We start from the raw sequence: 14,127 nt of genomic DNA, 5'->3' as shown, positions 1-14,127 counted from the left end.
AAAGCCTTACTCCTTGATGACAAGTGGAAAGTAAATGCTGGTCATTGGTTATTTGGCTCAAGTTTCCCCAGAGGTGAGCTCTGGACAGTGTACTAGGCTTACAAATAAGGACCCTCTTGTTTATCTCTTGTCCATTTAGAATGGTAGATTTAAAAAATTCCCAAGCAGTCTATGGCAGTCTCACTTAACACAATGTTTCTGGCCTTTTAAAAGCTCTGAAAAGTTTTGCTTTGTTTTGTTTCAGTGCCACTGTTGTGGTTAATGGAATATTGTTAGGAATTAAAAACAGAACTTGACTTCAAGGCCAAAAGCTGAAATTCTGATAACAAAAGTCCACCAGAAGATCAAATCTCTTAAAAACTGTGGTGCATTCCTGTGAAAATCCAGATTCTGAAAAGGTAAAAAAAGATCTGACCTTCAAAAAAGAGAATGTTCTCTGAAGATAATATTTTCTCAGCAAAAAACTTGAGCTCTAGCTTCTCTTCCAAAGATAAGTATATTAAAAAGATTTCTAGAGTTCTCAGCTATTACTGCAAGATTGACCACTTAAGGTTACATGGTTATAGAAAATTCATTACACCAAAACTTCCAAAACTGAGTTTTGGAAACAAAACACTACTTAACTCTTGATTATGTGACATATATGTTTCTATGTCTCAGTTTACTCATTTGAATAATGAAATAATTTTATCTGTCCTGCCTTCTTCACAGGATTGTTTTCAGAATCAGATACAGTAATGGAAATTAAGATCCTTTGTAAAGAAAAAAGAAAAAAAAAACACTACACAGATGAATAGTATTATTTCACTACGATTACTGTCCTAGCATCTTCCTAAATTGATTCTGAGTCCTATAACTAATTTCAGCATGTGGGCCTAGAACTCAGTTCTGCAATTTCTTGAAATGGGCAGTTTATCCCGAAGCATTTGCTTTGATTTCAGAAATAGAAAATGAAAAGAAAAAATGATTCATAGGGGAAGTTAAGAAATGATAAGATTAGAGTCAGTCATGCAACATAAAATTACAGAAATCTAAGAATTGAACTTGATTTTGGATGTGATCTAAGCTAGTGGTTGAAATCTTTTTAACTGTGTAAACGTTTATACAAATGAAATTTACTCAGAGGCCCTATGTGTGAATCAGGAAGCATCAAAGCTGCTCTGCTGAAGCAGTCGGCCCTGGGCCCCTCTTCCTGGTTTTCTGTGCTCTGTTGAAGGGCTCAGTTTAGAAGCCATCGATTTTCTTCAAAATGCTTTATTTAGCTACAGGATCCTTGTTCAAGTATGCCTTACTTGAAGTTAGAGGCCCAGTGCCAACAACAGATAAAGGAGTCATTGCTCTGTGGAAGCATTTGGGAGTTTTGGGGCTCATTTCTCCTGCCACACAGTTTTAAGTGGCCCTGAGAGAAGGGGTTCCATCTAGCACAGTTAGGAAAGCTTTGATCTCATTCACTCTTTCATCCAATCAAAAAATAACTTGGATAGCATCTTTGGCTAGCGGTCATCCATTGACTGCTGTTCTCTCTCACTCCTTAAAGAGGCAGCATACTCTGACATTCCACGGTTCTAGCTGTTTAAAAAATCATCCTGGGGTGGGGCTGAAAGCACAGTGCCTGCAGTGCAAACACACTGCCCCTGGCTGTGTCACTCAGAGCCTCTCAGACTCAGTTACACTTTCTTCTCTATGGTTGCTCCCCATGTTTTTGGAGTCTTTACATCTTCTCTCCAGTGCAAACATTTCTCGTTTCCTCCATTTTCTCCAACCTCCTCATTATGCTTGCTACTTGCCATGGGGCTAAGTGTTCATCAATATCCTTCTTAACATGTGGGACTCTGACATGCACCCAACACTCCAGAGCTGGTCTCCTCTACACATGTTCACTAGAAGCATTGCTACCTGCAAACTGCACATTGTACATCATCTTTTAAGGTAACTATAGCTCAGAGTCCATTTATTGAAGAGTTGTTGTTTATTGAACCCCTTTCAAGTTCAATAAACAGTACACTGGGCTGTGATTTGTTATGAAGTGTGAGAAGTCTACCACTGTCATTAATGCATGCTAGCAGGAGATGATGTTGTAAAATTTTATCCTACACACTTTGCTTTTTTCGCTGAGTTTTCTTTACTCCTTTAATGCTTTCTTCTTATTTAAGTTGCTATTGAACTGCCTATCAGCTAGTTATCAAGGCGGCCCAATAACATTGTTAGATCTTAGCAATCTTCTCTTGTGTAGTCATCAGGTAGGGGCTAGAGGTCATCACTGAGATTTTTCACTGACCAATGAATGGGCCTCACCTGGGCCCAAACACTTAACCAGCCAGAATTGTGGAAAAGTCTTGAACCTGTTTAAGAAAGTTTTAGCTTCTTCACAGTTGTACAGTCCATCAAAAATAAATAAATCAGTATATTTTAGAATTTTCAGATTAGGAGTTTTTGACTTTCACAATAGTCACCCAATGCCCTTTTAGCACCCCAGATGGAGACATTTTGAACTAATCCAATATTGGAATTACATTAAACAGTTTAGGAGAGTCTGTGAGTATAGTAGCAGCGGAGCAGGGTGTTACTGCTTTTTAAAAATATCTCAAAGGTCCACATGTGTAATAATATTTACTCTTGTTTTAAGCATTCTTTCCTGGGTCTCTGTGGAGTTGTGAGCTTTGAGACACAAAAGAAGGAAAAGAGAAGTAAACAGTTTCTACAGCAAGTAGAAGACTAATAATTCTGAAACCATCTTCCTCCCTAGGGTGAAAATTGGGGTCTTCTACTGAGAACCTGTAGTGGAAAAAACAGCAGTTAAACCATCTCCCTTTTGCAATTGTCTCTCATTTCTGAGATCACACTGTGTGGTAATTCTAAAACCTCTGAATGGAAATTGCTGCCATCATTATGTAATCCCTCTAAGCCATCAGTAGCACCTTTGGCTCCCCGTTTTGTTTTCATAATTCTAAATACACAATTTAATGAGTGACAGAGCTAGATGAGAAGTCCCCAAATAATGAAATCCAAGAAGGGAACGGCTGGCTGCAACCTTGGCTAATGCCAGTCTTTTTGTTGATCCAGATATTGTCCTCCATGTCTCCCCCTCCTGTTAGTCCAGGAACTAACCCATTGACACAGAAGTTACTTTGTGACTTTATCTATAACAAGCAGCATAATGCAGCTTGTGAGCATAAAGCAGCATAGTGAGCATTTAGAATGCACATCTAGTTTTCAATATGTCAAATCTAAAACTTTTCACCACAAAGTTAAAAAAGGAAGCAAATCAGTGAAAAACAAATGTTGGGGGTCAAAATATTGAAAAGGTTTCTGCAGTTATGTAGAAACATTTTTTGCTCGGTCAGTTATCAGCAGATGGATGCATATCTTGAGTCATTTAAGCAAAGCCAGACTGTACTTGTCCAATACATGACTATTTCCTGTTTTGGGGTCTAGCTTAGATGACCCTGTCTTCTGCTTTCTAGTTCTGATTTTCATAAAATCAAATTCCTCATTTTATCTTTGGACTTTCTTCTTTGGGAGCCAATGCTGGTTGCCTTCCTTCTGGGTAAACTGATATTTTAGGGGTGAGGGGATGCAGGGATAATGTGTTGGTAGAAAGGATTTTTAAATAGCGATGCCTAGGGGCCACTTCCAAAGACAGAGAACTTGAGCTCTTCAGGTGGAAAGGAAGCTCGGTGAGGAAGGTAGAGGTCTGTCTCTACTCATGCCCCAAGTTCATTGAACCCTTATCTTTTCTGGATAAACCTAGAGTTGTCACCCGATCCCCCGATCGTAGGAGCTCCCTGAGAACCACAGGGCTATCGGAGCCAGGAGGCTGGGAATTAACAATGAGGTTAAGTAAATAGATAAAGCGCTGACATTGGTTTTATGATTATTATGTTAAAGTTTTTACATGCATTAGCCTCTCTAATGCTTACCACAACATCATGTTATTACTGAAGGACAGAGGAGTACAATAGATATAAACCCACATGTTCTAGAGCAGGGCTGCCTTGAATAAGCTGAGTGACCCCGGGGGAGTTGCTTTACCCCTCAATGGCACAGATTTCTCATCTGTGAAATAAAAGTAAAAACATCAGCCCTAAGTGTTCATACCCAATTTACAGACAAGGCAACAGAAGTTTAAGACCTTACTCATGATCTCATGATAAGTAAGCACTGAGATTTGAGCCCAGGGAGTCGAAGTCTTTATAGTTGACCATGATTCTATCTGGCCTGTGGCAGTTACATTTATAAATTGTTTTCTCCTTTTTAATTTTCTCACCCTGAAATAGTATCTAAGGCTGTGCTTCTACCACTGGGATATAATAAGATGGTTCTAGTGGAATTAAGCAGCTGTCTATGCATTTTGGTCAGCTATTCCCAAAGTTTTTCAGCTCCTAAGCCCCTTCCCAGAATAGATCCCATAGATTTCTTGGGTATGATGTGTGAAAGGCTTCTTGCTCACATCTGGGATGTGGTATTTCTTTAGCCACTGCTGCATAATAAGTTACAACAAAACTTAGTAACTAAAACAATAATATGCATTTATTACTCACATGTCATTTGAGTATATGAACCCAGGCGCAGTTTAGCTTGGTGCTTCTGGTTCAGTGTCTCTCCTGAGGCTGCAGCCAGGATGTCAGCCTGAGCTGCAGGCACCTGAAGGTGACAGGGGCTGGAGAAGCCACTTTCCAGATGGCTTGCTCATGTGGCTGTGGGCAGGAGGCCTCAGTTTCCCACCACATGGACCGCTCTGTAGAGTTGCATGACTATTTTCATGATTTGGCCGCTGACTTTTTCCAGAGCAAGTGATCTGAGAGAGAAAGAGAGGGCAAGGCAGAAGACACAACGTCGCATGCTGTCACTTCGGCTGTATTCCACTAGTCCCACAGACCAGCCCTGGTATCATGTGTGGAGACAGGGGGTGGGGGCCTATAGCATGGATTACACCGGAGGTGGGGCTTATTGGGGTCCATCTTAGAAGCTGACCTTCTGTCTTATCCTTGTGGGTCTAGTCATCGATTGCAAGTGAAAGATAATTGACTTACATAACCCCATATTTTCCTAAAAATTGTTGTGATTCTTCGTGGTACATAGCATATTGTGGGTCAGTTTTCTCCCCTGGAAGTGGAGAGGATGTCATTTAAACAGTTGATGACCCTTCTTCACACGCCTCTTCTTTCTCAGATTGAGACAATCGAGGAAGGAGATCACCTGAAGTGAGTAAGCTTTCATGGCAAGGGAGGTGGAGCAGATGTAGGAGGGCACAGCACATGTGGTGTCTGGAGAAAAAAAGACTGGCATGCTTAGGGTAGCTCCTTATTACCAAAGACAAATAAAGATGGCATTGCACCCACGGAGTGTCCACAAAGTCTGGGAACATAGGTGAATATGCATAATAGTATCAAAGGCATATTCACTTTGTAGAAGAAACTATGTTTCCAGGATTTACGGCCACACACTTTTTTTTTTTTTTTTTTTAGACAAAGTCTTGCTCTGTCACCCAGGCTGGAGTGCAGCAGCTCTTTCTCAGCTCACTGCAACCTCTGCCTCCCAGGTTCAAGTGATTCTCCCACCTCAGCCTCCCAAGTAGCTGGGATTACAGGTGCTCACCACCATGCCTGGCTAATTTTTGTGTTTTCAGTAGAGACGGGGTTTCGCCATGTTGGCTAGGCTGGTCTCGAACTCCTAACCTCAGGTGATCCACCCTCCTCGGCCTACCAAAGTGCTGGAATTACAGGCATGAGCCACCACACTCAGCCTCTTTTTTTTTTTTTTTTTTTTTTTTTTGAGACAGGGTCTCTCTCTGTTGCCCAGGTTGGAGTGCAGTGGAGCGATCATGGCTCACCTCAGCCTCAACCTCCTGGGCTCAAGTGATCCTCCTGCCTCAGCATCCAGAGAGCTGGGACTACAGACGCATGTCACCATGCCCTGCTATTTGATTATCTTTTTGTAGAGAAGGGGGATCTAGCTATGTTGCCCAGGCTGGTCTTGAACTCCTGGCCTCAAGTGATCCTTCTGCCGTGGCTACCAACACACACATTTTAAAAATGCATTAAATAGAAGTTTCAGGAGGCTTTGACTCTCAAATAAGATGCATTTAACATGGACATCTTATTTGTTTTGAGAGTCAAAGGCTCCTAAAACTTCTATTTAATGCAGTTTTTAAATGGATTGATATCAAAGTTAACTGGGGAAGACTCTCTTCCACAATTTTTAATTATTTAGCCTACACTTTATGTTTTCTTTTTTTTAACTAGGTTCTAATTGCTTGAAATTTAATGCATTTTAGACTTGTAGTCTCCTTCGTTTCATGTCTGCTTGTCTTGGAAAAATGTTTGCATATAAAGTGAATTCTGTCTTAGGGATCTGCTTTGCTGTGTCTAGTCTTCCCTGCATATGTTCAGAGGGCAGAGCCTACCTCATTCTCTCCTCCCTTCTCTAACCCTCTGTCTGCCCACAGGCCCACTGCAAGGAGGAATGTAGTGAGGGTTCCTTTTGATTAAAGGGACTGGACTGCATTCCATAGAGAGCACACAATATCAAATTGCTAGACTGCAGCATGCTAGGGAAAACCAATATTGGTGGAGGACTAACTATATTGCAATTTCAAGAGACAGTCCCAGCCCCTTGTTGCCCATGGTCTTCATGCTGCACAATAAGAATCTCTAGGACAAAATCCTGGAAGATCCTATTAGATTCTACTACCCTCCGCTGAATGACTAGGACTTCTTGAACTGATCATGCTAGGTTTGTAAACCTTGCTTTCTTAATATTTTTGCTTTGGGTGCCCTTTTAAAAATGAGTCATCAAGAGTCTAAAATATAACCAGCTGTTTGGAATGTAAGAACATGGGTTATTATATTAACTCCAAAGTGTAGAGAGGCAAATTGTAGGTACGTAGTTTCATTTCAAGATCTGGTTCCTTCGGGTCTTTCTTTCCTTCTTCCTGTCTCCAGTTTCCCTTCCTAATACTAACTCAATTATTTCCCAGGGCCAAACTAAATTGTTCTCTTTGTCAGCCCATTTACGTCTAAAGAAGCCTGTCTGTTTTTCTTAGCCTGTGAACTTCAGGTTTCATTCAAATCTACTCTTAGAAGCTTCTGGACATCCTTGTCAGCAAAGCCCACTGATTTTCCTGGACCAGAAATTTCCCTAACTGTCTCTGTAAGTAGAGTGACTTGTTCTCCTGGGACGATTCCAGTTTCTGTGTGTTGTTTTGGCGTGATTATTAAGAGTGGACTTCTTCGGTCACAAAGGTGTTTTGGTTTTGACAATAAATTATACAGTCACTTTACTTATAAGGCACCTTTCTTATTAGTTCACAGGATAAAATACTGGGCAGGCAACTGTGGGAGATGCTTACTGAGATCCTATTTCCTAGCAAAATAGAACAATACATCTCATGTAAAATTTTAATCAGTCCATGCTTTGGGGTTAATATCATCTCCATTTTTCTAATGAGGAAGTGAAAGCTCAGAGAGGTTAAGTAACTTGCCTAAGGACACCAAGACAGCTCATTGCAGAGATCATGACCTGGACCCAAACTTTCCTTCCTTCATAGACCACTTTTTCCATATGTCCTCCATCACCACTGTCATCCTAGTCAACATGGACGCAAAGCCAGACTTTTCCTTTCTTTCTTTTTTGAGACAAGAGTCTCACTCTGTCGCCCAGGCTGGAGTGCGGCGGAGCGAACTCGGCTCACTGCAACCCCCGCCTCCTGGGTTCAAGTGATTCTCCCTGCCTCAGCCTCCTGAGTAGCTCAGATTACAGGCACCAGCCACCATGCCCGGCTAATTTTCTATTTTTAGTAGAGACAGGGTTTTGCCATGTTGGCCAGACTGATCTCAAACTCCTGACCTCAGGTGATCCGCGTGCCTCAGCCTCCCTAAGTACTGGGAGTACAGGCATGAGCCACCGCGCCTGGCCCAGACTTTTTCTTTCTCTGTGACGTCCTTTGTTGTTGTTGTTGTTGTTACTCTCACTTTTGTTTTTCCTATAACTCCTGAAGACAATCATCGAGATATTCCTCATCTTCCACCGACCTCTGTAACATGTGGCACGCAGCATACAACAATGCATGTAAAATGAGTTCTGCCTGCCTGCCATGATCTAGAGAATGTGCTCAAGGAAATCGTAGTTGTAAACAAGGTTGCCCTACACTCCTCTGCAGCTGCTTTCCTCTTCAGAACCAAGGGAGGTCTATAGAGGGAATCCTGAACCCTCAGCAATTTCATCGACAGTAATTTGCAACAGGGATGGGCAAAGGTTTGTAACAGGTGAGACATTATATTAAATAGTGGGAAAGTAATTTAAGTCATTTTTCCCTACCTGCCTCATCTGTGAACCAGGAGTCAAGAGTTCCTTAGCTCACAGAGCTGTAACTGACATTATATGCTCAGCACACAGTCTGATGCAAAGTAAGGGCTCATGAAATGTGATTGCCTTTCTTCTTTACCCTCCGAATGTTTGCTACTGCATTTTCATGTACCCTGAGAGGTTTTGGGGAAAGGAGAGAAATAAATATAAGTTGTGAAATTTACAAACAAAATTAGAAAAAAATTATTTTTTCATTCAAAGAAAATAGCTCTTGGCCTTGTACAGCAAATATGTGGGCCAAGACCCTTTTTTGGCCCCCTCAAGCCCTGGAAAAATTTAGTTTACTCAATACGGAGACAACTTCCTTGCGGAATACAGGGTTAGTGGGGGCTCCCTGGGCACTGCCTGCTATCAGGTGAGGTCCACCCAGACTCGGGCAGTGAAAAGGGGTCTATTTACTTTTACATTTTCGATCACAACAGCTGATGGGCAAGAGTTAGGTGAGATGGCCAGTCGTCATTCTGACCTCATCTGTGCACACTGACACTGTCATTGTCCCCAGAGGTTCTGTGGAGGTAACAGAATGTGAGCTTCGAATGTGCCAGCCTGCCTAATTCAGAGGCTTGTGAGAAGCCATCTCCTTTTTTGTGAGTTAGTACAGAGGCTCAGGAGAAAGTGTGACTCGAGGCTGAATCCTTGCATCCAAGGGACGGGAGCGGGCAGTGTAGGTGGCAGAGCAGAAGCCAAGAGCAGAGCCCAGGTCAGAGTCTGAAGGAGGAGGGAGGCAGCTACAGTCAGACAGGGAGGGTGCAGACTTCAGAGTCTCCAGGCCTGCCAGGGGGCCCCTGCAGTACCTGAAGTCTCCTGGCAGCTCCAAACAACAGCTAGTCCTAAGCCATGGAGAACATTTCATTTCCTAGAATTCCTCTAAGGAGACATGATCCTGATAGGAAACTCTGATGTGAGTTTCCTCAGAAGGTAGGATTCGGGTCCCCGGGTGTGTCTGTTGGAAATCATCACACTTTTGTGAGGATTAAATGAGATATGTGTGAGGTGCTTAGACAGTGGTGGGCTCGATGGGGAGTGCTATGCAGAAATTTGCTACACCTCATTGCTGCTGCTTATGTTGTTGCTATCATCACTCAGCCACTGACTGCTGCTCCTTCTGTTGCCCTTTTTAACTTTTCTACTGCTGATATGGAAATGGTTTCTTGTTTTCTTTTTACATTAATTAATTTATTGTCATTATTATTATTATTATTATTATTATTATTATTATTTTGAGATGGAGTCTCCCTCTGTCACCCAGGCTGGAGTGCAGTGGCGTGATCTCGGCTCACTGCAACCTCCACCTCCCGGGTTCAAGTGATTATCCTGCCTCAGCCTCCCAAGTAGCTGGTATTACAGGCATGCACCACCACTCCCGGCTAATTTTTATATTTTTAGTAGAGATGGGGTTTCACCATATTGGCCAGACTGGTCTCGAACTCCTGACCTCAGGTGATCTGTCTGCCTTGGCCTCCCAAAGTGCTGAGATTACAGGTGTGAGCCACCACACCTGGCCTTTTTACATGAATTTAAATTATACAAAGTTCATGAACAATCTCCTGGTAGATTTTTTAAATATTGTAGATAAGACAGAAGCTTTTACTGCTCCGAGTGTTGTACCTTTCCCATCTCCAGAGAAGTAACCACAATTTTCCATTTTCAATAGTGTATATATATTTTTCCAGAAAATATACTCACAGGATATTCACAGAGATATATTTATACTCCTGTACATAACAAGGAGTGTATATTTACATACACATATTTGACATATAGCAAATGCCTGCGTAGCACTCTCCATTGTGCCCACCACGGTGCTAAGCACCTCACACATATCTCATTTAATCCTCACAAAAGTGTGAAGATTTCCAACTGGCACACCCGGGGCCCGGAATCCTACCTTCTATATAAAGTCCCATCAGAGGATATGTGTGTATTTATTCCTATATAAAAGGAATATATGTACACACACGTCACTGTTCTCTTTATCTCTAGGCACACTCACTCATAGGAAATAGATGGCATTGTTACTTGTGTATAGTCTTTTAAATAATTGTTAAATATTGAGCTACCAGTCTGTAACCTGCTTTTTGACTCAGTAATACATTTAGAAGATGCCTCTGCATCAACGGGAAAAGATCCACTTCCTTCCCTTAAACTGCTGTGGAGTAACCTACAGAATGGCTGTAACTAATTTAATTTGACACTCCACTGCTGAAGGAGATTTAGGTTGCTTCAACTTTTTCCTGATTACAAGTTATACTGCCAGTAAATATCCTTGCCTATATGAATGAGGGCTTCCGTAGGGAACTTCTGTACCACACAGGATACATTGAACTAAGTTGAAATATAAATGAGCAGCAGAGAGAAAATATTTGCAACATATATAACAAGCTGTGACATATATTGCAGTTCTGGATTATGATCCAGAATCATATAAAGAATGCTTACAGATCAATAAGGAAAAGGCAGAAAGAACCAGAGAAAACAATGAAAAATGGGTAAAGGGCACAAACAGGTAATTCTGAGAAGAGAAAATTAAATGATTGATAAATATATAGAAAAATGATCTTCCTTTCTTGCCAGCAGGGAAATACAAATAGTAACAGAATATCTTTCATGCACTAATTTCACAGAAATTAAGATCCTGATGCTATCCAGTGCGTATAAGAGTAGGAGGAAGCAGGTTTTGTAATCCACCACTGGTAGGAGCGTAATTCGACAATTCACTACTTTTTTTCCATTTATCTTTTATTTAATTGTTTAATTTTCTTAAATTTTAATTGCCAAATAATAATTGCATATATTTATAGGGTACAATGTGATATTTTGATATATGTATACATGGTAGAAAGATGAAATCAAGCTAACTAACATATCCATCGCCTTACCTACTTTTTTGTGGTGAGAATGCTTAAAATCTACTCTTTAGCAATTTTGAAATGTGTGTTATTATTAACTATGGCATCATGCTGTGCAATAGACCACTAAAATGGATTCCTCCTGTACAACAGAAATTTTAAAACCTTTGACCGGCGTCTCCCCTTTCCCATCCTGCACACTCCCCAGCCTCTGGCTTTTAAAGCAGGACACCCAGGGGCCCAGCATGCCTCCTGCCCCCACTGCCAAATTCCCTTCCACCTGCAGATTCATGGCTCCTTTCAATGTGCCCCTTTCAGCCCAGGGGCTCTGCAGGGTGGGGAAGTGTGGGGAGGGAAACCTTGATCAGCCTGGAGGCAAATACCAAATGCCCAAATACCAAATAACTGTTCTCCTCCCAATCCCAGGCCATGTGGCTGATAGCTAATCACCCCTCATTCCTTCCCCACAGGGTAGAATTTTTCTCCAGATTCCTCCAGGATCCCATTATAGTATAGCTTCTTTCATCCTCTCTACGCCTCCTCCACCAACATGTTCAAGGCAGACTGCCCGAGTTCAAGTCTCACCGTGTGACTGTGACTCCCTTGTCTAACTCACCTAGGTTTCCTCCCCTACCTAATGGGAGGCTATTCAGGGCACCTGCCTTATGGGCTGATGGTGATTACGTGATGAACTACGCCATTAAAACATCAGAAGAGGGCCTGGTATGAGCAAGAGCTCAACAAGGTTAGCTTCATCAACTGTCTCAAGCCTATCTGTGGATGAGGTTTAAATTATTCAGTGGGAAACTCCTAATCCCCCCTCTCCCCAGTAAAGCAAATGCAGTGGGATCTGGGGAAGGAGATGAGAGCAAAGGGAGTATTCGTATCCAGCATGGGCCTAGTGCTCCTTTCTACTTCCTCCCGTGAAGTTTCAACTTTCTTTAGGTCATTATGTTTTATTTTTTGCATGTACCACAAACCACAGAATAGGACCAGTGACTTGTATACCACGTACTTTAAAGATGTAAGGTATGTGTTGATCACACAATGGGTGAATACTTGAGGGCTGGCAGGAGCAGGAAATGTGAGGTACAGAGCTCTTGTGAAGAGAAAAAGACAACTTGGTATAAGGAGAGTGGAAATGCAGTGGGAGGAGGAGGAAAAGTGGTAAGAAATGACAGGTGACAAAGGCATGCTACAAAGTTCAGTGACTGACATTAAGTGGGGTAGGGGACAAATATTTGCTGAGCACTTGCTCTGTGCCAGACATGTACTGGGCGAGTTCCTATATGTCACATGTAACCCTCACAATAATAATGAGGTCATTTTGGCCAAACTCATTGCTTGTGTTTGTTTGCATTTGTTTTGTTCTGAATGAAGAAACAAGGCTATCCAAACGTACCTCTGACTGATCCCCGATACTCTACTGCACCTGTTTTCTAGGAAACCTTCTTGAGAACTTTAGGTAGGGGATGGTAGATTACATGTAAAACCAAGAATGGAAGAAAGAATTAATTCTCTGGCAACAGCAGGATGAAAGCACTTTTGTGCACCAATGATTAGCAGATGTTGATCTGGGGTTGCAGTTATTGATGGAAGAGGAAAGTGGGCAAAGGGTTAAAAGAGAGAAGCAAAGTGGAGATAGGGGATTTAGGAATCGTTTACCAAGAAATCTACAAGAGAAAATGAGAAAACACAAAATGCTTGAAGCAGTTTTAAGCAAGTTGGAAGCAGAACCCCCCAAAAAGCCAAATAGGTCGGAGTAAGGTGAAAGAGAAAGTAATCAAAACTGTTACAGAAGAAAATAAGAACAAGGAGCCATGGGTTTGAGTTGAGGATGCGTCTGAATAGCCATCTGCTAACCTTAGCCTGAAGGAGAATAGCCCAAAATTCATGCTCACTTAATAAGGACAGAAGGACTAGCTGATTTCATAGACACAGTGGCATTGACAGAGGGTGTTATTTCAGTAGATTTGTTATATTGTTTTCCAAAACCAAAGGCACAGTGCGGTGCTGTGAAATAGAGTTTTTCAGAAGACTCTGATTTTCGGTGGCACAGTGTTTCCTGGCACTGTGGTAGTCGAGTAAAGGGATGCTTGGTTGTCATTACCTGGAGAGCAAATTGTGGCTGATTTCAAATGGAAAGATGCTGATGCCATGTAAGCAGCACCCCCCAAGCAGTTACAACTCCTCCACTTTTGATACTACAAAAAGGAAATCAGTACTATCCACTGGCATAGCAAAATTTTCTTACCTTCTAAATTGGTTCCCTTTGCTCTTTCTGTGAAAATGCCACACAGTCCGTAACCTTCTAATGTCCACATTGCTGGGAATTATTAGGAGGACAAAAGTTCCCAGGACAAAGTTTCACGCTTTATGCAAACACAGCCTCATTTCTATTATTTTCCTTTTAACCCTGAGCAATTAAGCTGGAAACACAAACATGAATTTTATTTGTGATGACTTTGCGTGTCCTCTGACATGAACCTCATTCTCTTTGGGATCAGCAGAACCCTTACTGTCATGTACGGATGTCTTTGTTGCGCTCCTCCACTCTTGCATGATTAAGTCATTTATTAACTTGATAAAACATGAAGCTTGATTGTATAAGGCCAGAGTCAAAGTCCTGAATTACCATTCTTGTCTAAAACAAAACTCTAAATGACAAGTACTGGTTTGAGGAACATGACTTGCTCTTCTTCATGCCAGATCTCCTTGGGGGTTACTGCTGCACATATGTGGGTGAGAAAGGGCTTAATGGGGGGGATAGATTTTTTTTCCACCTGTATCCCATAAAACGTCCTGCAGATAACTGTGACCTAGTGTAACAAGAGATTTGGAAAAAGAATAAGAAGAATGTTAAGAGAATATGAGAAGAGAATGAAAGCAGAAAAAAAAAAATGTAGAAAGG

The 14,127-nt window shown here is 41.7% G+C and overlaps 1 long non-coding RNA gene across 1 annotated transcript in view, besides 1 other annotated feature; it reads right to left on the bottom strand.

Moving 5' to 3' along the window:
* Window positions 1–13,575, bottom strand: part of LOC107986787 (uncharacterized) — a 30,270-nt gene extending 16,695 nt beyond the window's left edge. The window contains exons 1-2 of the long non-coding RNA XR_001745183.2: window positions 13,471–13,575; window positions 4,542–4,798 (exon numbers count right to left, since the gene is read on the bottom strand). This is a non-coding gene — a long non-coding RNA (uncharacterized LOC107986787). The remainder of the gene's footprint in view (window positions 1–4,541; window positions 4,799–13,470) is intronic.
* Window positions 10,980–11,479: an enhancer, noted in NCBI's record as "H3K4me1 hESC enhancer chr7:41507517-41508016 (GRCh37/hg19 assembly coordinates)". NCBI's record gives its function as "activates a minimal SCP1, AML or CMV promoter by ChIP-STARR-seq in naive H9 embryonic stem cells {active_cell/tissue: H9 hESC(naive)}" and the evidence as "EXISTENCE:reporter gene assay evidence [ECO:0000049][PMID:30033119]".
* Window positions 13,576–14,127: the final 552 nt, after the last annotated feature.

This window comes from Homo sapiens, chromosome 7, assembly GCF_000001405.40.
Source record: "Homo sapiens chromosome 7, GRCh38.p14 Primary Assembly".
In the NCBI taxonomy this organism is placed as follows: Eukaryota; Metazoa; Chordata; class Mammalia; order Primates; family Hominidae; genus Homo; species Homo sapiens.
Note: the sequence above shows the minus strand (reverse complement) of the source record. Positions and strands in the feature narration are given on the sequence as shown.